This window comes from Homo sapiens, chromosome 17, assembly GCF_000001405.40.
Source record: "Homo sapiens chromosome 17, GRCh38.p14 Primary Assembly".
Lineage (NCBI taxonomy): Eukaryota > Metazoa > Chordata > Mammalia > Primates > Hominidae > Homo > Homo sapiens.
Window position 1 is genome coordinate 60,764,515 of NC_000017.11, and position 21,843 is coordinate 60,786,357.

At 42.0% G+C, this 21,843-nt stretch overlaps 1 protein-coding gene across 8 annotated transcripts in view, besides 2 other annotated features; it reads left to right on the plus strand.

The window, feature by feature from the left end:
* The window catches only part of BCAS3 (BCAS3 microtubule associated cell migration factor), a 714,981-nt gene that overhangs the window by 86,664 nt on the left and 606,474 nt on the right, over positions 1 to 21,843 (plus strand). The gene's annotated exons all lie outside the window — the stretch shown is intronic.
* Positions 1,992 to 2,493: an enhancer, noted in NCBI's record as "H3K4me1 hESC enhancer chr17:58843867-58844368 (GRCh37/hg19 assembly coordinates)". NCBI's record gives its function as "activates a minimal SCP1, AML or CMV promoter by ChIP-STARR-seq in naive H9 embryonic stem cells {active_cell/tissue: H9 hESC(naive)}" and the evidence as "EXISTENCE:reporter gene assay evidence [ECO:0000049][PMID:30033119]".
* Positions 2,494 to 2,993: an enhancer, noted in NCBI's record as "H3K4me1 hESC enhancer chr17:58844369-58844868 (GRCh37/hg19 assembly coordinates)". NCBI's record gives its function as "activates a minimal SCP1, AML or CMV promoter by ChIP-STARR-seq in naive H9 embryonic stem cells {active_cell/tissue: H9 hESC(naive)}" and the evidence as "EXISTENCE:reporter gene assay evidence [ECO:0000049][PMID:30033119]".

Here is a 21,843-nt window from a genome sequence, read left to right on the forward strand (position 1 = left end):
TTTTTTAATCCTGAGTTCTAATTGGATTGTACTGTGGTCTGAGAGACAGTTTGTTGTGATTTCTGTTCTTCTATATTTGCTGAGGAGTGCTTTACTTCCAATTATGTGGTCAGTTTTGGAATAAGTGCGATGTGGTGCTGAGAACAATGTACATTCTGTTGATTTGGGGTGGAGATTTCTGTAGATGTCTATTAGGTCTGCTTGGTGCAGAGCTGAGTTCAAGTCCTGCATATCCTTATTAACCTTCTGTCTCATTGATCTGTCTAATATTGACAGCGGGGTGTTAAAGTCTCCCATTATTATTGTGTGGGAGTCTAAGTCTCTTTGTAGGTCTCTAAGGACTTGCTTTATGAATCTGAGCACTCCTGTATTGGGTGCATATATATTTAGAATAGTTAGCTCTTCTTGTTGAATTGTTCCCTTTACCATTAAGTAATGGCCTTGTCTCTTTTGATTTGTTGGTTTAAAGTCTGTTTTATCAGAGCCTAGGATTGCAACCCCTGCTTTTTTTTGCTTTCCATTTGCTTGGTAGAACTTCCTCCATCCCGTTATTTTGAGCCTATATGCGTCTCTGCATGTGAGCTGGGTCTCCTGAATATAGCACACTGATAGGTCTTGACTCTCTATCCACTTTGCCAGTCTGTGTCTTTTCATGGGGGCATTTAGCCCATTTACATTTAAGGTTAATATTGTTATGTGTGAATATGATCCTGTCATTATGATGTTAGCTAGTTATTTTGCCCATTAGTTGATGCCATTTCTTCCTAGCATTGGCAGTCTTTACAATTTGGCATCTTTTTGCAGTGGCTGGTACCGGTTGTTCCTTTCTATGTTTAGTGATTCCTTCAGGAGCTCTTGTAAGGCAGGCCTGGTGGTGACAAAATCTCTCAGCATTTGCTTGTCTGTAAAGGATTTTATTTCTCCTTCACTTATGAAGCTTAGTTTGGCTGGATATGAAATTCTGGGTTGAAAATTCTTTTCTTTAAAAATGTTGAATATTGGCCCCCACTCTCTTCTGGCTTGTAGAGTTTCTGCTGAGAGATCAGCTGTTAGTCTGATGGGCTTCCCTTTGTGGGTAACTTGACCTTTCTCTCTGGCTGCCCTAAACATTTTTTCCTTCATTTCATCCTTGGTGAATCTGACAATTATGTGTCTTGGGGTTGCTCTTCTTGAGGAGTATCTTTGTGGTGTTCTCTGTATTTCCTGAATTTGAATGTTGGCCTGCCTTGCTATGTTGGGGGAGTTCTCCTGGATAATATCCTGAAGAGTGTTTTCCAGCTTGGTTCCATTCTCCTGTCGCTTTCAGATACACCAATCAAACGTAGATTTGGTCTTTTCACATAGTCCTATATTTCTTGGAGGCTTTGTTTGTTTCATTTTACTCTTTTTTCTCTAAACTTCTCACTTCATTTCATTAATTTGATCTTCAATCACTGATATCCTTTCTTCCATTAGATCGAATCGGCTACTGAAGCATGTGCATGTGTCACGTAGTTCTCGTGCCATGGTTTTCAGCTCCATCAGGTCATTTAAGGTCTTCTTTACACTGTTTATTCTAGTTAGCCATTTGTCTAATCTTTTTTCAAGGTTTTTAGCTTCCTTGCGATGGGTTCGAACATCCTCCTTTAGCTTGGAGAAGTTTATTATTACCGACTTTCTGAAGCCTACTTATGTCAGCTCATCAAAGTCATTCTCTGTCCTGCTTTGTTACGTTGCTGGCAAGGAGCTGTGATCCTTTGGTGGAGAAGAAGCGCTCTGGTTTTTAGAATTTTCAGCTTTTCTGCTCTGGTTTCTCCCCATCTTTGTGGTTTTATTTACCTTTGATGGTCTTTGATGATGGTGACCTACAGATGGGGTTTTGATGTGGATGTCCTTTTTGTTGATGTTGATGCTATTTCTTTCTGTTGGCTAGTTTTCCTTCTAACAGTCAGGTCCCTCAGCTGCAGGTCTGTTGGAGTTTGCTGGAGGTCCACTCCAGACCCTCTTTGCCTGGGTACCACCAGCAGCAGCTGCAGAACAGCAAATATTGCTGCCTGATCCTTTCTCTGGAAGCTTTGTCTCAGAGGGGCACCCGGCTGTATGAGGTGTCATTCGGCCCCTACTGGGAGGTGTCTCCAAGTTAGGCTACACAGGGGTCAGGGACCCACTTGAGGAGGCAGTCTGTCTTTTCTCAGAGCTCAAACACCATGCTGTGAGAACCACTGCTCTCTTGAGAGCTGTCGGGCAGGGACGTTTAAGTCTGCAGAAGTTTCTGCTGCCTTTTGTTCAGCTATGCTCTGTCCCCACAGGTGGAGTCTACAGAGGCAGGCGGGCCCTGTTGAGCTGCGGTGGGCTCCACCCAGTTTGAGCTTCCTGGCTGCTTTGTTTACCTACTCTAGCCTCAGCAATGGCGGATGCCCCTCCCCCAGCCAGGCTTACTGCCTTGCAGTTTGATCTCGGACTGCTGCTCTAGCAGTGAGCAAGGCTCCATGGGCATTGGACCCGCAGAGCCAGGCACGGGATATAACCTCCTGGTGTGCCGTTTGCTAAGACTGTTGGAAAAGCGCAGTGTTTAGGTGGCAGTGTCCTGATTTTCCCAGTGCAGTCTGTCACAGCTTCACTTGGCTAGGAAAAATCCCCCGACCCTTTGCGCTTCCGGGGTGAGGCAATGCCCCACCCTGCTTCGGCTCGCCCTCCGTGGGCTGCACCCACTGTCTGACCAGTCCCAACCAGATGAACCAGGTACCTCAGTTGGAAATGCAGAAATCACCAATCTTCTGCGTCGATCATGCTGGGAACTGCAGACTGGACCTGTTCCTATTTGGCCATCTTGGAACTCAGAAGTCCTTTTTTTTTTTTTTTTTTTTTTGAGTTGGAGTCTTGCTCTGTCACCCAGGCTGGAGTGCAGTGGCGTGATCTCGGCTCACTGCAACCTCTGCCTCCCGTGTTCAAGCCATTCTCCTGCCTCAGCCTCTCAGGAAGCTGGGACTACAGGCATACACCACCACTCCCGGCTAATTTTTTTGTATTTTTATTAGAAATGGGGTTTCACCATGCTGGCCAGGCTGGTGTCAAACTCCTCACCTCAAGTGATCCACCCTCTTCAGCCTCCCAAAGTGCTGGGATTACAGATGTGAGCCACTGTGCCCAGCCATGAATCTTTTTTTATTGGACTCTGTTGCTGGAAAATTATTGTTTTCCTTTGGAGCTTTCTTATTTCCTTGCTTTTTCATGTGTCCAGTGTCTTTACATTGATATCTGTGCATCTGGTTAAATGGTCGAGTTGCTTCTTCCAATTTATTTATTTATTTATTTACATTCTTTAGAGACGGGGTCTCACTCTGTTGCCCAGGCTGGAGTTCAGTGGCGTGATCATGGCTCACTGCAGCTTTGACCTTTTGGGCTCAAGGGATCCTCCTACCTCAGCCTTCTGAGTAGCTGGAATGACAGGCATGTGCCACAGTACCTGGCTAGTTTTAAATATTTTGTAGGAACAGGATCTCACTATGTTGCCCAGCCTGGTCTCAAATTACTGGCCTCAAGCAATCCTGTCTCAGCCTTCCAAAGTGCTGAGATGAGAGGTGTCAGACACCGTGCCCATCATCTGTGGGTAGGGTGCTTTGACTTTGATTTTAGGTGCATATATTAGTGTGAGCACTGTATGATTTCTTTGGTTGTAAACAATATGAGTGGTATCTGTGATTTCCTTGGTAGCTGTGATGGTTAATACTGAGTGTCAACTTGATTGGATTGAAGGATGTGAAGTATTGATCAAGGATGTGTCTGGGAGGGTGTTGCCAAAGGAGATTAACATTTGAGTCAGTGGGCTTGGAAAGGCAGACCCACCCTTAATCTGGATGGACACCATCTAATTAGCTGCTAGCATAGCTAGAATATAAAGCAGGCAGAAATACGTGAAAAGGCTAGACTGGCCTAACCTCCCAGCCTACATCATTTTCCCATGCTGGATGCTTCCTGCTGTCGAACATCGGACTCCAGGTTCTTCAGTTTTGGGACTCAGACTGGCTCTCCTTTCTTCTCACCTTGCAGACAGCCTATTGTGGGACCTTGTGATCCTGTGAGTTAACACTTAGTAAACTCCCCTTTTTTATATATCTATCTATCTCCTATTCTGTTCCTCTAGAGAACCCTGACTAATATGGTAGCTTTGAGTGCAGTTATTAGTGGAGGCTGTGGTGAAATTTTGCTGGGCAGTAGGACACCAAGTGGGTCATTCTTTGTGTTCCAGTGGTGGCAGTAATAGGCTGATTGTGCTTGTCTTTCTGCTCCAGGATGGCTTGCACTGGCACCAGTGTCAGCGGGCCTAGGTGGTCTGATTCTTGGGCCTCCAGATAGCTTGTTTAGCAGTGGTGGGCCAGGCATGTGGGCAGCTTCTCAGGCCCCTGGACAGCTGGTATGAGTGGCAATAGCAGGGGTGGAGCAATGCACTGGAACCCAAGTGATTTATGCTGGTGTTGGCTGTGACAAGTTAGGCAGGTCTGTCCTTTGACTTGATGGTGGTACATAGTGGTGGGTGCCAGCTCTGGTGGTATTGGCAGGTTGTGTTGGCCCAACTGGAGACCCCAGGAGGAGTGGTCAGGTGCCAGTGGTGATGTACTGATCTGGGTGATTTCCAAGTCCGTGGATGACATGCTCAGTTACTGTGGGGACTAGACTGGCTGGATGAGTAGACTTGTCCTTGGGCCCCTTGGTAGTGCATTCAGGTGATGTCTGTGATAGGCAGGGGCAGGATGGTCCCTAGCCCACTGGTGGAATGCTCAGGTGTTGGCAGTGGTGTCTTTGCTGCAGTCCTGCCACTGAGGAGAGTGAGGCCACTCTTAGTGGGAGCAGTGTAGGGAGGTAGCTGTGGGATGTGTGGTTTTCTTGTGCTCTGGTCATACAACAGCCTGCAGTAGCGGAGGTGGGCTTTGTCTTTGAAGCACATGGAAGTGCCTGGCCTCATTTCTCTCCTTGGCCTGGTGCTGGAGGCAGCATTAGACCTAACCCTAGCCCCACCTCCAGCCCCAGGGGAGTTCAAAGACCTTTGGAGGCTGGCTGTGGGCCTGCCGTGGGGAAGGGGGAGGGCCCCCCTCAGTAGGAGCAGCTAGGCAGGTGGTTGTGGGGAATGCAGTTTGCTTGTGCTGTTGGTCCACAGCAGCCTGCAGCAGTGGCAGTGGGATTTGTCCTTGGCGTGTGTGAAGGTGCCCTGCCTCCTGTCTCTCTCCTTGGCCCAGTGGCCTCAGGGAAGAACATAGTCCTTTGGGTTTTTAATTTTTTTTAATTTTTTTTTTATTTTTTGGAGATGGAGTTTCACCCTTTCGCCCAGGCTGGAGTGCAGTGGTGTGATCTCCGCTCACTGCAACCTCCATCTCCCAGGTTCAAGTGATTCTCCCCATTCAGCCTCCTGAGTAGCTGGGATTACAGGTGCCCGCCACCATGCCCAGCTAATTTTTGTATTTTTAGTAGAGACAGGGTTTCACCATGTTGGCCAGGCTGGTCTCGAACTCCTGACCTCAGGATAAGCCCACCTCGGCCTCCCAAAGTGCTGGGATTATAGGTGTGAGCCACCATTCCCAGTCCAAGTTTGGTTCTTAGAATGGTGCCAAGCTGCAGCTGTTCAGGGCTTGAAAGCCTGTGGGAGTTCAAGTTCTCTCTCTGCAGCAATGCTTCTGTGCAGTCTGTAGTCAGTTCCGTATGTTAGTCTTGAGGCCTGTATGGGTCAAGGGGTTCTCGTGTAATTAGGATCATGAAACACTGTGGTGGGCACGTGGAGCCTTGGGGATCTGTCTCACCCTTTTTCTCTGTCCATGAGCTTTCCCCAGTTCATAGTCCATCCCAGCTTCTCTCTCCTTACTTGTTACTTGCTTTTAGTCCTTGCCATCGCCTCTCTCATCCCAGTGTTCCCTCTTTTTTTTTTTTTTTTTTTTTTTTTTTTTTTTTTTTTGAGACAGAGTCTTGCCTTGTCACCAGGCTGGAGTGCAGTGGCGTGATCTCGGCTCACTGCAACCTCCGACTCCCTGGTTGAAACGATTTTCTTGCCTCAGCCTCCCGAGTAGCTGGGATTACAGGCATCTGCCACCACTCCTAGCTAATTTTTGTATTTTTAGTAGAGACAAGGTTTCACTGTGTTGGCCAGGATGGTCTCGATCTCCTGACCTCGTGATCTGCCTGCTTCGGCCTCCCAAAGTGACAGGCATGAGCCACTGCACCTGGCCCCAGTATTCTCTCTTAGACGGTCTATTTGAAGTGTGAATATTTACTTGCTATTTTGGTTCCTCTCTGTGGAGGAGGTGCATACTATCTGCAGTAGTCAGCGATCTTGAACCTAAAACTGAAATTTGTTTTTTTTTTTTTTTTTTTTTTTTTTTTTTTGAGACAGGGTCTCACTCTGTCACGCAGGCTGGAGGGCAGTGGCACGATCTTGGCTCACTACAACCTCAGCCTCCCAAGTAGCTGGGATTACAGGTGTGTGCCACCACGCCTACCTAATTTTTGTATCTTTAGTAGAGACAGGGTTTTGCCATGGCTGCTCTTGAACTCCTGACTTCAGGTGATCTGCCTGCCTTGGCCTCCCAAAGTGCTGGGGTTACAGCGGTAAACCACCACGCCCAGCCCCCAAACTGAAATTTGTATTTGAAAGCTCACCTTACTTAGATCTCATGGTCTCCCAGTATATGGTTTTTACATTACAACTGAGAAACGCTTTTACCACATCACATGATGTAAAAAGTAGCTTCGTTTCTATTTTTTTTTCATTTTTAAGGTCTAAAATAGCTTCAATTATTTCAGTGTCATTATTATATTTGGGTTGTCTAGACTAAGGGTGAAATGCAATGGAAATTGCCGGTATGGAGACCAATACGTAGAAAAGCCGTTCTCCTACATTACTACATTTTAATTTTAAGTTGTCAGGATAAAGTATGTTGCAAAGACAGCAATAGTCTACTTAAATTTCCTTTACCTTAAATCAAATCAAACTTTTAAAAGAAACGTTGGTTCCCTTTCACAAAACTTGGAATAAACTATTAAAAGTGCATCAAAAGGATTAGTGACGGGTATCTTTTTTTTTTAATTATACTTTAAATTCTAGGGTATATGTGCACAACGTGCAGGTTTGTTACATATGTATACATGTGCCATGTTGGTGTGCTGCACCCATTAACTCGTCATTTACATTAGGTATATCTCCTAATGCTATCCCTCCCCTGTCCCCCTATCCCACGACAGGCCCCAGTGTGTGATGGTCCCCCACCCTGTGTCCAAGTGTTCTCATTGTTCAGTTCCCAACTATGAGTGAGAACATGCAGTGTTTGGTTTTCTGTCCTTGTGATGATAGTTTGCTCAGAATGATGGTTTCCAGCTTCATCCATGTCCCTACAAAGGACATGAGCTCATCCTTTTTTATGGCTGCATAGTATTCCATGGTATATATGTGCCACGTTTTCTTAATCCAGTCTATCATTGATGGACATTTGGGTTGGTTCCAAGTCTTTGCTCTTGTGAATAGTGCCGCAATAAACATACGTGTGCATGTGTCTTTATAGCAGCATGATTTATAATCCTTTGGGTATATACCCAGTAATGGGATGGCTGGGTCAAATGCTATTTCTAGTTCTAGATCCTTGAGGAATCGCCACACTGTCTTCCACAATGGTTGAACTAGTTTATGCTTCCACCAACAGTGTAAAAGTGTTCCTATTTCTCCACATCCTCTCCAGCACCTGTTGTTTCCTGACTTTTTAATGATCGCCATTCTAACTGGTGTGAGATGGTATCTCATTGTGGTTTTGATTTGCATTTCTCTGATGGCCAGTGATGATGAGCATTTTTTCACGTGTCTGTTGGCTGCATAAATGTCTTCTTTTGAGAAGGGTCTGTTCATATCCTTTGCCCACTTTTTGATGGGGTTGTTTGATTTTTTCTTGAAAATTTGTTTAAGTTCTTTGTAGATTCTGGATATTAGCCCTTTGTCAGATGGGTAGATTGCAAATATTTTCTCCCATTCTGTAGGTTGCCTGTTGACTCTGATGGTAGTTTCTTTTGCTTTGCAGAAGCCAATTAGATCCCATTTGAGTGACGGATATCTTTAAAAAGGCTTAACATAGGCTGGGCATGGTGGCTTACACCTGTAATCCCAGCTCTTTGGGAGGCTGAGGTTGGTGGATCACTCGAGGTCAGGAGTTCGAGACCAGCCTAGCCAACATGGCAAAACCCTGTCTCTAGCAAAAATACAAAAATTAACTGGGTGTGGTGGTGTGTGTTCCAGCTACTCAGGAGGCTGAGGCAGGAGAATCGCTTGAACCTGGGAGGTGGAAGTTGCAGTGAGCTGAGATCGCGCCACTGCACTCCAGCCTGGGCAACAGAGTGAGACTCAGTCTCAGAAAAAAAAAGGGGGGCTTAACGTGAAGCAAGTAAGTTTCATGTAAGCTTAATGATTCTGACCCAAATTTGAAAATGAGTCTTCAACTTATTTGGGTAAATATCAAGGAGCATGCTTTTGGCATTGTATGGTAAAAGTATGTTTAGTTTTGTAAGATACTGCAAAGCTATCTTCCAAAGTGGCTGTATTGTTTAGTATTTCCACCAGCAATGAACAAGAGTTGTGTAGCTTGCATCTTTGCCACCATTTGGTGGTGTCAGTGTTCTGAAATTTGACTATTCTAATAGCTGTGCATTAGTATCTTGTTGTTTAAACTTGCAATTCTCTAATGACATATGATGTGGAATATCTTTAAATATGCTTATTTGTCATGTATTATCTCCTTTATTTTGTATTATCTGACTCTTCAGGTCCTTTTTTTTTTTTTTTTTTTTTTGGGACAGGGTCTCACTCTGTCACCAGGGCTGAAATGCAGAGGTATTATCATGGCTCGCTGCAGCCTTGACCTCCCAGGCTCGGGCAGTCCTCCCAACTCAGCCTTCCCAAGTAGCTGAGACTATAGGCAAGCACCGCCACATCTGGCTGATTTTTGTATTTTTTGTAGAGATGGGGTTTTGCCGTGTTGCCCAGGGTGGTCTTAAACTCTCGGACTCAAACCATCTGCCTATCTCAGCCTCACAAAGTACTGGGATTATAGGCATGAGCCACCACACCCAGCCAACTGTTGAGGTCTTTAACCTATTTTTTCATCAGGTTTTTTTCTTATTGTTGAGTTTTTTTTTATTTATTCTTGAGACAGGGTCTCATCCTGTTGTCCAGGCTGGAAAGCAGTGGCGTGATCATGGCTCACAGTTGCCTCTGCCTCCCAGGGTCACGTGATCCTCCTGCCTCAGTGTCCCAAGTAGTTGGGACCACAGGCGCACGCCACCATGCCTGGCTAATTTTTGTATTTTTTTGGAGACAGGTTCTCACCGTATTTCCCAGGCTGGTCTCGAACACCTGCACTTAAGTGATTGGCCTGCCTTGGTCTCCCAAAATGTTGGATTTACAGGTGTGAGCCACTTTGCCCGGCCTTACTGTTATGTTCGTTGTGTGTTTTAGATAATAGTCCTTTATCAGATAAGGCTTTTGGAAATATCTTCTACCTATGGCTTGTCTTCTTATTTTCTTTACAATGCCTTTTACAAACCGTATTAAAATATTTTCTTTCCTTCCTCTGCATGGATTTTAGCTCACTTGATGTCGTTTCACAACTCACTGATGCTCTGATCACTTTTGAAGTCTTTCCCTCCCCTCTTGTTCCAGTAGTTTCTATTGGTGCCTCTTCATGTTTCTTCATGTTTTTTTTCTGCAGTATCTAATGTTGTTAACCCATCCAGTGTATTTTTTTCTCTCAGACACTGCATTTTTCACTTACAATTTGCGTGTACATGTGCATGTGTGTGTGCAGAGACAGAGATCTTCCATGTGCCTGGAGACATGTTCACTTTCCTCTCCTTGAATAAATGGAATATGTTTATCATAGGAATTTTAATGTGGTTATCTAATTTGATTCTGTTGATTGATTTTTCTCCTTATTATGGGTTGTATCTATTCCTGCTTCTTTGCATGACTTAAAATTTTTGTTTGGATGCCACACATTTTGAATTTTGTGTTGCTCAGGACTATTTTGTATTCCTTTAAATATTTTTGGTTTTGTCCTGGGACACAGTTAAACTACTTGGCAATAATTTTATTCTTTCAATACTTTCTCTTACTCTTTGTTAGGTATTCCTAGAATAGCCATTAGTCTAGAGCAGGGGTCTGTAGACATTTTCTTAAGAGAGCTAGATAGTATTTTAGGCTTGTGGGCCATCTGTCCTGACTATTCCACTATTCATCTCTGCCCTATTGGGCAAAAGCAGCCATTGACAATACTCAAATGAATGAGTGGTAAGTTGGGGCATTCACAGGGCTCACATCAATTGTTTCCCTTGTCTCAAGGATCACTGTCCTGGGCTGCGTGTTGTTGGATGTCTGAAACTGTTTTTTATATATTTTATCTGTTTCTTAAGTTTTCCTGGCAGGAGGGTAAATCTGATCTGCTGCAGAGGTTCAGCATTTTGCCTTAGTTCCTTGTTTTGGATGACTTAAGAGTGCTTAGGATAGCGCTTGGCATGTAGTAAAAGTCCTATGTGAGTTTTTATAAATAAAGAAAAAAATAAATTTCAAATTGAATTTCATTTGTAAGACAGTTTAAAAATTTTAATGTATCTTTGGAGAAGTTAAGTTTCAAACACTTTGAAAGATGCAGGCATTATAGAGAAATTTCTGGAGGTATCATAGCATTAATTGTGGGGTTTTTTTTCTCTCGGGTGCTAGATGCAGTAGCAAAAGAAAGTGATAAAAACACCAAGGGATTCCTTTATTTCTTTTGATCTCATGAATAGGTAAAGGAGTCTTAAACTTTCCTTCTCCTCTTAACTATCAACAAGGGACTACTATGATTCTTGCCTTTCAGAGTCTGGCATCATTTTTTTCTTTCCCCATGATGCTTTTAGTCTTAACAACAAGAAGTGTGGGCCTCCATGTTATCATTTAAACTATCTTTTTGGCATCTACTGTTTAGTTTAACCTAGTTTTCACTGAATTTTTTTCTCTTGTTGTTGTTACTGTACTTTGCAGTTTTTATGTATATATAGGTTTACCTTGGGAATATTTCAGAATTTCTTTTTTTTTTTCATTTGTAGAACATGGAAATAATCTAATTTGAGGCCAAGTGAATTTATGTAAATTTATAGTTAGCAGTAACAACCAGACACACTAATAAAAACCTTCTAATATTAAAAGAAGGAAAACAAAAACCGTGTGTGCAAAGGAATGATCCGCACAAATTATAGGATACTGACTACCTGGCAGTGGGTAGTAGGGTTTGGGATGTATGAGTCTATATAAGTAAATGAAAGTTTTTGGCAGTGTTTTACTTCTTATGGATGAGGGGGTCATAGGTGTTTATTATTAAAGTATAAAGAAGAGGTCCATGCATTCATTGAGAAGAAATGAACCAAGAATTATGAATGGTCTAATTCTTTGTACTCAGTGCTCAAAGTGGAGAGGAGAAAGATGCAAATGAGAGAAACAGAACATGCAGTCTTTATTGGATTGGAAATAAAAAATTAGAATTGTGAATTAGAGATTAAAAGCAAAGTTTTGAGTGAAGAATTTAAAGAGAGACTTATTTCCCTCTGTATGGGAAATACATACAGTATTTTGCCCTGAGAAATTTTCTTTGTATAAAGTCGTGCTTCACAGTTTGTTAATGTTTTAAATTCATCATAACAGTATTGACTCAGTTTTGTACTTTTAAAGTAATCTGTGTGTGTGTGTATAGATGTATATGTATACTCTCTAATCAGAATGACTCCATATATAGAGCTAATATCAGCTGTTGGTATTTTATTCATATTTTTGAAAATGCCAGTATAATATCTCACATTAGTTGTTTAACCTTTATACATTAATATTAGTTTTCCAAATGTAACTAATGTCCTTCTTTAACCTATCTTATAACAATATAAGAACAAATGGCTGTGCGCGGTGGCTCACGCCTGTAATCCCAGCACTTTGGGAGACCGAGGCTGGCGGATCACAAGGTCAGGAGTTCGAGACTAGCCTGACCAACATAGTGAAAACCCATCTCTACTAAAAATACAAAAATTAGCCAGGCATGGTGGCGTGCACCTGTAATCCCAGCTACTCAGGAGGCTGAGGCCGGAGAATCGCTTGAACCTGGGAGATGGAGATTGCAGTGAGCCGAGATCGCACCACTGTACTCCAGCCTGGGTGATAGAGTGAGACTCCGTCTCAAAAAAAAAAAAAAAAAAAAGGCATGGTTGCTCACGCATGTAATCCCAACACTTTGGGAGGCTGAGGTGGGTGGATCACTTGAGGTCAGGAGTTACAGATTAGCCTGACCAACACAGAGAAACCCCATCTCTACTAAAAATACAAAATTAGCTGGGCGTGGAGTTACATGCCTGTAATCCTAGCTACTCGGGAGGCTTAGGCAGGAGAATTGCTTGAACCCAGGAGGCGGAGGTTGCGGTGAGCTGAGATTGTGCCACTGCACTCCACGCTGGGCAACAAGAGTGAGAACTCCATCTCAAAAAAAAAAAAAAAACAAATGAAGTAAAGTATATACACATATATGTGTGTGTGCGTGTGTATATATGTGTATATATATATTTCACTGACGAAATGGCTAAAATCAGCAAGTATCAGGAGGCAGCTCCGTGACTTCCATGCTACCACTGGCAGTAGGGAAAAAATGGCTGCAGAACTCTTGGTGTCTTTCCCATCACCACCTTATTCTCTTCCTCTACTACTATACTTAAAAAAGCTTTGCCACTACTGTTATGAGACTATGGCCACTAAGTTCCTTATGTTCTTTACTCTTGTTTACCTCAATCACCACAACAAACTCAAAACTTGGCCCAGCGTGGTGCCTCATGCCTGTAATCCCAGCACTTTGGGAGGACAAGGCAGACAAATCACTTGAGGCCAAGAGTTGGAGACCAGCCTGGCCAACATGGCAAAACCCCACCTCTACTAAAATTACAAAAAATGGGCCGGGTGTGGTGGTGGGCGCCTGTAATCCCAGCTACTCGGGAGGCTGAGGCATGAAAATCGCTTGAATCCAGGAAGTGGAGTTTGTAGTGAGCTGAGATCATGCCAGTGCACTCCAGCCTGGGTGACAGAGCGCGACTCTGTCTCCAAAAAGAAAAGGAAAAAAAGAAACTTAAAAACTCACAGGTTATTTCTCATTCTCACCCTCTCTCCATGTGGCATTCACTTTTCAATCTCCATCTCTCTCTTCATTCCCCCACTCTCTGAAATACCTACTCCAACTCCAGAAACTTTCTGACAGGGCCCCCTCGGAAGTCATTATCCATCATCTGCAAAATCCCCTATGTCCTCATCCTCTTTTTGGAATGTTACTTCCTTTCTCTTTGTTGCTGCCTTTCTTTCTTAGTTACTACCTTTCAGTTTTTGGAGATTAGATTTTTATCTCATAGTTTTCTTTAGTACCACTCCTTTCACAATTCCTAAAAATGAACATATTTTTATGTGTTCATTTGAAATCCGTATGTCTTCTTTGGTGAAATGTCCCTTATGTCTTTTGCTAATTACTGTTGAGTTTAGATAGTTCTTTACATACTCTGGATACAAGTCATTTGTTGGATATATGATTTTCAAGTATTTTCATTTCATCCATGGCTTATCCTTTCATCCTTTCAGTTTGGATGAAGTCCAATTATCTTTTTTTTTTTATTTTATCAGTTGTGCCTTTCATGTCATATCTGAGAACTTAGTAAATCTGTAACACTATGGTCTTTAGCGTCTCTTGTCTAGAATTTGTGATTTTCCTGTTTATATCTCTCTGCCCTTCTCAAACTCATTTCATCTCCTCTGAACAGAATATATTTTTAGTTAATTTTATAAGAGATTATTAAAATAGGTTCTATTATATGGAATTCATTCATATGCTTGTTTCAATTTGTGGTGCAGCAAAATTTTAAATTAATAAAATTATTTTCTGTAATTGAATAAATCCTTATTTTCAAATGAGAATAGAGATAAGACTATTCCCTCAGGAATGATTTGCCACAAAGTAGTGGAAATCCATGCACACATTATTAACTTTGATGGTCTTTTTAAATTCTCATTTGTTAGATATTGTCATTCCTGGGAAATTGGTGCTTACTGAGCAAGCAGTTTGTGTTACTCAGCAAGACTTATTTTCCTACAGTCTATAAATCTTTAAAGGAACTAGACAGATTCCCAAAATTTAGAAGTGGATGTATTTGATATCTGAGTGGCATAAGTGGCTTTAAATCTCTTTATAAGATGATACATCTACCATGTAAAAAGATCAGCCCTAGTGTTTGACCCTGTAGTAGTATTCTTTTGGTTGAGTGTTTTATTCATGTGTGTTGGGCATATGCTATAAGTAGCATATGATTTTGTGGGATGATAAAAGTATAGTTTGTATACATATTAACACATTTTTATAGTAAAATTTCCTTGTGTCTGAAGTATTTTTTCTAGGCAGATATTTGAATAAACATCTAAACAATCTTTTTTTGCAGTACACTTTGGGTTAATATGGCATTAGTGTTCTTAATTTGTCTTAATGCAGCCTTGCTTCTAACCACATTGTATTACAGGTTGAGCATTCCTAATCCGAAAATCCAAAATCCAAAATGCTCCAAAATCTAAAATTTGGAGCCTGTTTGAGCTTACTCTAGCTCTGGAGGCTGCCTGCTCTCCCCACCCCCAAATAAAACCCCCAAAACAAAATTCAGAACTTTTTGAGTGCTGACATGATGCCACAAGTGGAAAATTCCACACATAAATAACACAAACTGTTTCATGCACAAAATTAACAAAAATACTGTATCAAATTACCTTCAGGCTATATGTGTAAGGTGCATATGAAACGTAAGTTATTTTCTTTCTTTTTTTTTTTTTTTTGAGGCGGAGCTTTGCCCTTATTGCCCAGGCTGGAGTGCAATGGCGTGATCTCAGTTCACTGCAACCTCCGCCTCCCAGGTTCAAGCGATTCTCCTGCCTCAGCCTTCCAAGTAGCTGGGATTACAGGCATGTGCCACAACGCCTAGCTAATTTTGTATTTTTAGTAGAGACAGGGCTTCTCCATGTTGGTCAGGCTGGTCTCGAACTCCTGACCTCAGGTGATCCACCCGCCTTGGCCTCCCAAAGTACTGGGATTACAGGCGTGAGCCATCGCGCCCGGCAGAATTTCATGTTTAGACTTGGTTCCTATCAAGATAGCTTATTATGTATATGTAAATATTCCAAAAGCCAAAGAAGTCTGAAACCTGAAATGCTCCTGTTCCCAAGCATGTCAGATAAGGGGTACTCAACCTATACCATTCTCTGAGTTTTTCTAAATCATGCAAGAATGGTATGATTCTGTTTGAGAAATATTCTTGGTGCTATTTGATATATAGACCTTTGAAAAACAGGAGATAAGGCTCTGATATGATCACTGGAGCTTGGTGTCTATTGCAATATTTTTGGGAAAATATTCAAATATCTAAAAAACTTTACTATTTTTAATTTTTTTTTTTTTTTGAGATGGAGTCTCGCTCTGTTGCCTAGGCTGGAGTGCAGTGGCGCCATCTCGGCTCACTGCAAGCTCCGCCTCCTGGATTCAAGCGATTCTTCTGCCTCGGCTCCCCCGAGTAGCTGGGACTACAGGCACGTGCCACCACACCCAGCTAATTTTTGTATTTTTAGTAGAGACAGGTTTCACTATATTGGCCAAGCTGGTCTCAAACTCCTGACCTTGTGATCTGCCCACCTCGGCCTGCCAAAGTGCTTGGATTACAGGCGTGAGCCACCATGCCCTGCCTATTTTTTTTTTTTTTTTTAATTTTTTGAGACAGTGTCACCCTGTTGCCCAGACTGGGGTGCGGTGGAGCGATCTCGTGATCTTGTCTTACTGCAAACTCCACCTCCTGGGTTCAAGCGATTCTCCTGCCTCAGCCTCCCCAGTAGCTTGGATTATAGGCACCCGCCACCATGCCTGGCTAATTTATCTATTTTTAATAGAGACGGGGTTTCACTATGTTGGCCAGGCTGATCTTGGACTGCTGACCTCAAGTGATCCACCTGCCTTAGCCCCCCAAAGTGCTGGGATTACAGGCATGAGCCACCACACCCAACCCTAAAAAGCTTTTTTGTCATGTTAGTACTTTAGGTAACTTGTCGTACACAGAGATTTATTGGTGTAAAAGATAGACCTCTTGATACGAATTTTTGATAATTTGTTTGGAAAATAGTTGTATCTAAGCTGTGTTGCAGAGCTTCCTATTATAAATTATATCACAGCTTTCTTCCTTCTAATTTCCAGGCTGAGGTCCTTTTTATCCTTCTTTGAGTTATGGCTAACATAGCCTTACATTTTTTGACATATTTTCCTAAGTTAATTGTAGAATATCTGTAGATATTTTGTTAGATGTACATACAGATATTTAAATTTTGACGCTTTAAAGTAATTTGCCACCATGGTTCTGTTTTATTTTTTGTCTTTTTTGCCATCTTTTTTTTTGAGATGGAGTCTCACTCTGTCCCCCAGGCTGGAGTGCAGTGGCACCATCTCGGCTCACTGCAGCCTCCAACTACTGGGTTCAAGCGATTCTTGTGCCCCAGCCTCTGGAGTAGGTTGGGGTTACAGGTGCGTGCCACCATGCCTGGCTAATTTTTGTATTTTTAGTAGAGATGGGGTCTCACCATGTTGGCTAGGCTGGTCTCGAACTCCTGACCTCAAGTGATCCCCCCGCCTCAGCCTCCCAAAGTACTGGGATTACAGGTGTGAGCCGCTACGCCCAGCTTTTTTTTCCTTTTTTTTTTGCCATCTTTCTCAAAGAAAGAATTTTCCAGCTGGCCATGGTGGTTCACACCTGTAATCCCAGCACTTACAGAGGACAAGGTAGAAGGATCACTTGAGATTAGGAGTTTGAGACCAGCCTGGCCAACGTGGTGAAACTGCATCTCTACTAAAAATACAAAAATTAGCCAGGCATGTTGGTGCATGCCTGTAGTCTCTATTACTCGGGAGGCTGAGGCACGAGAATCTCTTGAAGTCAGGAGGCAGAGGTTTCAGTGAGCTATGATTGTGCCACTGTACTCCAGCCTGGATGACAGAGTGAGACCTTTTCTTTCTTCTCCTTCTTGTTTTTCTTCTTCATCCTAGACTGCCTTATACTTACTCAGATCACATTTCTTCTTATTGTTTTTGTCTTATTTCCATGTTTTTTCCTCTACCCCTTAAAACAAATTTTAAAAGACATTTTTATAAAAATGAATTTTACAATTATGTGTATTTCTTTACCTATTTTTCATAATTCCATTTTTTCCTACGTTAGTTAATAACAGTTGCTATGTGCTTCTAGACCTATTTCTAGGTGTGAATTTCATTTTATTCTGCTGGAGACTTACCAAGCTTTCTGGTTCTTTCTTTTATAATTCTGGAAAATTCTCTGTCATTTATCTCTTTGAATATCATGTTTTAAATTCTTCCTGTCTTCTGTCATTGTCCTCACCATCCTCCACCTAGAAATTCAGCACACCAGATGAACAACTGAGCTAGAAATCAGATTAACTTTCACAAAAGCAAAAGAAACCTATACCTGCTACATAGCCATTTTACCTTGAAGACTGAAAATTAAGGATGACCACATATGAGGAGTCCAGTTATTACTGAGGAGATATGACTTTAAAAACTACTTTTGTTTATCTGTTGCATTCTTTCAAATAGCTTGCAGCACAGTGTGAGACCTAATAATGGTTGCTTAATAATTGCCTGCTGTATTGAGTTTATAAAGATTTTATGTTATTTTACCAACTTTTAAACATCACTTTAAGAATTCCTTCATTTTATCTTAGTTTATGATAACAGCCACTATTTTTTGAGGACTTAGTATGCTTGAGGTAGGTAGCATCTCCAGTTTGCAGATGTGGCAGTTGACCTTCAGAATGTAGATTACAAACCAATTAATTATGAAAGCCAGTTTGGAAATCCATGCCTATCTGATTTAAAATTCCATGCCCTTTCTATTTTCTATGTTACTTCTGTTCAGATCAAATGTTGTGACCAGAAAACATGTTAGTTGGTCTTTATAAGTTATTATTATTATTATTATTATTATTATTATTATTATTATTTTGAGATGGAGTCTTGCTCTGTCGCCAGACTGGAGTGCAGTGGTGTGATCTTGGCTCACTGCAGCCTCTGCCTCTCAGGTTCTAGCAATTCACCTGTCTCAGCCTCCAGAGTAGCTGGGGCTACAGGTACGCACCACCGCACACAGCTAATTTTTTTTTATTTTTAGTAGAGATGGGGCTTCACCATGTTGGCCAGGATGGTCTTGATCTCTTGACCTCAGGTGATCTGCCTGGCTTGGCCTCCCAAAGTGCTGGGAATACAGGCATGAGCCACCGCACCCAGCCAGTCTTTAGAAATTCTAAATTAAGGCTTACTCTGTCATGCCAATTAAATTTGGGGCCCCAAATGCATGCATACGTATATTTACATATTTGTGTACATAAATATAGGTCTTTCTAGGGACTGGAAGGGATGAATAGCCAGAGCACACAGGATTTTTCGGGCAGTGAAAATATTTGATATGCTGATACATGTCATTATATATTTGTTCAAACCCACAGAATGTATGCAACTGCAAGAATGAACCCTAAACTATGGACTTTGGGTGATGATGTGTTAATGTAGGTTCATCAGTTTTTCAATCAACAGTTTGTTTGTTTGTTTATTTATTTACTTATTTTTGAGACAGTCTTGCTCTTTTGCCCAGGTTGGAGTGCAGTGGTGCAATCATAGCTCACTGCAGCCTTGAACTCCCTGGCTCAAGCGATCCTCCCACCTCAGTCTGCTGAGTAGCTGGGACTACAGGTGCACACCACCACATCAGGTTAATTTTTGTATTTTGTATAGAGATGGGGTTTCGTCATGTTGCCCAGGCTGGTCTCAAACTCCTGGGCTCAGGCAGTCTGCCTGCCTTGGGCTCCCAAACTGCTGGGATTATAGGCACGAGCCACTGCGCCTGACAATCAACAAATACTGATAATGTGGTAGACTATGTCTGTGTGTGGCAGGGGCTATGTGAGAGATCTCTGTACTTTCCTCTTTATTTTGCTGTGAACCTAAAACTGCCCTGATGAAAATAAATTCTTTAAAAACAAACAAACAAAAACATCTATTTTAAGCATCTTAACATTTTTCATAATACAGTATTCCTCATAATAGCTACATAACAGTTTTCCCATCATTAACTTCTTATTTGCCTTTTTTTCCTGGGCATATTTGTTCTAAATGAAATGTACTCCACCTCACAGTTATATACAGAGTTTCCACATTAGTATAAACTATGAGATAATGCTACAGGTTTGATTTGAGACTCTTTTTGTTTGTTTCTCATGTTGTAATATTCTCTTTGACTTCTCTGGAGTTCTTTATGGGCAGCTGTAGTGAACAATGAGAATTGGCCACATAAAGTTTCCTTAAATATGGGAAGGTAAATGAGATGTGGCTGGCCAAACATAGAAATGAAGTATAATATAAAGCAGCACTCCATTGTAGAACTGCTGCCAGGAAAGTATCTAAACATCTGGAATATGGTCAGAATTCTATATTAAATAATGCAGTCCAAGCATGTACTGTATCTAAGTTAAAAAACTCTTATATTGAAGATGTTAGGCATCTTATCTAAAGGAGTGCAGCATTTATACTTTGGGAATACGCAGGAAAGAAAGGGTCTATATGTAAAATTACCAAATTGAAAAAAAAAAGGTGAAAATACTTAGTGATGATGGCGTGTGTTCTTTCTAAAAAAATGAAACAAATTTTTTTTTTTTTTTTTTTTTTTGAGACGGAGTCTCACTCTGTCGCCCAGGAGGGCAGTGACACAATCTCGGCTCACTGGAAGCTCCACCTCCCAGGTTCATGCCATTCTCCTGCCTCAGCCTCCCTAGTAGCTGGGACTACAGGTGCCCGCCACCATGCCCGGATAATTTTTTTTTTTGTATTTTTAGTAGAGACGGGGTTTTACCATGTTAGCCAGGATGGTCTCGATCTCTTGACTTTGTAATCTGCTCACCTCAGCCTCCCAAAGTGCTGGGATTACAGGCGTGAGCCACTGCGCCCAGCCAACAAAAAATGTTTTTAAATGAGGTGGAGTCTCACTGTGTTGCTCAGGCTGGTCTTGAACTCCTGGGCTTGCAATCCTCCCACCTCATTCTTTCAAGTAACTGGGATTACAGATACATGCTACTGTGCCTGGTTATGAGAGGAATGTTTATTTTAAAAGCGTTTCTGGAAAGTAACTCAGCAAGCAATATTTAGTAAATTAAATGTAGCTAGGCCAGGCGCAGTGGCTCACGCCTGTAATCCCAGTACTTTGGGAGGCTGACGTGGATGGAGCACCTGAGGTGAGGAGTTTGAGACCAGCCTGGCCAACATGGCAAAACCCAGTCTCTACTAAAAATACAAAAAGTTAGCTGGGCGTGGTGGCAGGCGCCTGTAATCCCAGCTGCTTGGGAGGCCAAGGCAGAGGCAATTGCTTGAACCTGGGGAGGCAGAGGTTTCAGTGAGCTGAGATCGTGCCATTGCACTCCAGCCTGGGCAACAGAGCGAGACTCCGTCTCAAAAAAAAAGTATCTAGCAATCCCAAACATGCCCTTTTAACTTAGGAGTTTTTACTTTTTTTCTTAGTTTTTTATTTTTTGAGACAGAGTCTCATTGTCACCCAGGCTGGAGTGCAGTGGTGCGATCTCGGCTCACTGAAGCCTCCACCTCCCAGGGTCAAGTGATTCTTGTGCTCCATCCTCCTGAGTGGCTGGGATTACAGGTGTGTGCCACCATGCCCAGCTAATTTTTGTAATTTTAGTAGAAATCGGGTTTCACCATGTTGGTCAGGCTGGTCTCTAACCCCTGGCCTTAAGCAATCCACCTACCTTGGCCTCCCAAAGTGCTGGGATTACAGGAATGAGCCACTGCGCCCAGCCAGTAGTTTCCCTTTTGAAAGTCTGTTTCATATGAACAGAAGTACTCGTACATTACCAGAATAGAGTATTTTTACCAGGATGTTTATAGTCAGACAGCCTGAATGTACATCAGTAGGAATGGTCAAATAAATTGTTACAGCCATATTATGCAATATTATGAAGCGATTAAATACTGAGTTAGGTGTATATTTGTTGACCTGAAGGAATTTACATGAAGTATTGAGTGAGAATAATAAGATACAGAGCAATGTGTACACTGTGATCCCATTTTGTAAAACAGTTATCTAAAAAATAAAAAATCTCTGCTGTATTTAACAGCAGTCAGCTCTCAGTATCTGTAGTTTCCACATCTGTGGATTCAACCAACTATGGATCAAAGATACTTAGAGAAAAAGTTGTGTCTGAACTAAGCATGTACAGACTTTCCCCCTTTTCATTATTGCCTATACAATACAGTGTAATAACCATTTACATAGCATTCACCTTGTATTAGATATTATAAATAACCTAGAGATGATTTAAAGTACACAGGAGGATGTGCATAGGTTGTATACAAGTATGATGCAATTTTATGCCAGAGACTTGAGCATCTGCAGATTTTGGTATCTGAGGGAGGTCCTGGAACCAATCCCGCACAGATACCAAGAGACAACTGTTTATGTTTTATTCAGGATTGAATTACCACGGATAAAATTATGTCAGTAATTTCAGGGTATTAATATTGTTTACTTGGACATATTGGTAGAATGTGAGAATATATATAGTATGAGGGAGCCCGGATAGTTCAGTTGGTAGAGCATCAGACTTAATCAGAGGGTCCAGGGTTCAAGTCCCTGTTTGGGTGTGTCCTTCGGCTTTTAGCACCTAATTCTGATTCCACCTTTGAAAAAGAAAGAAAG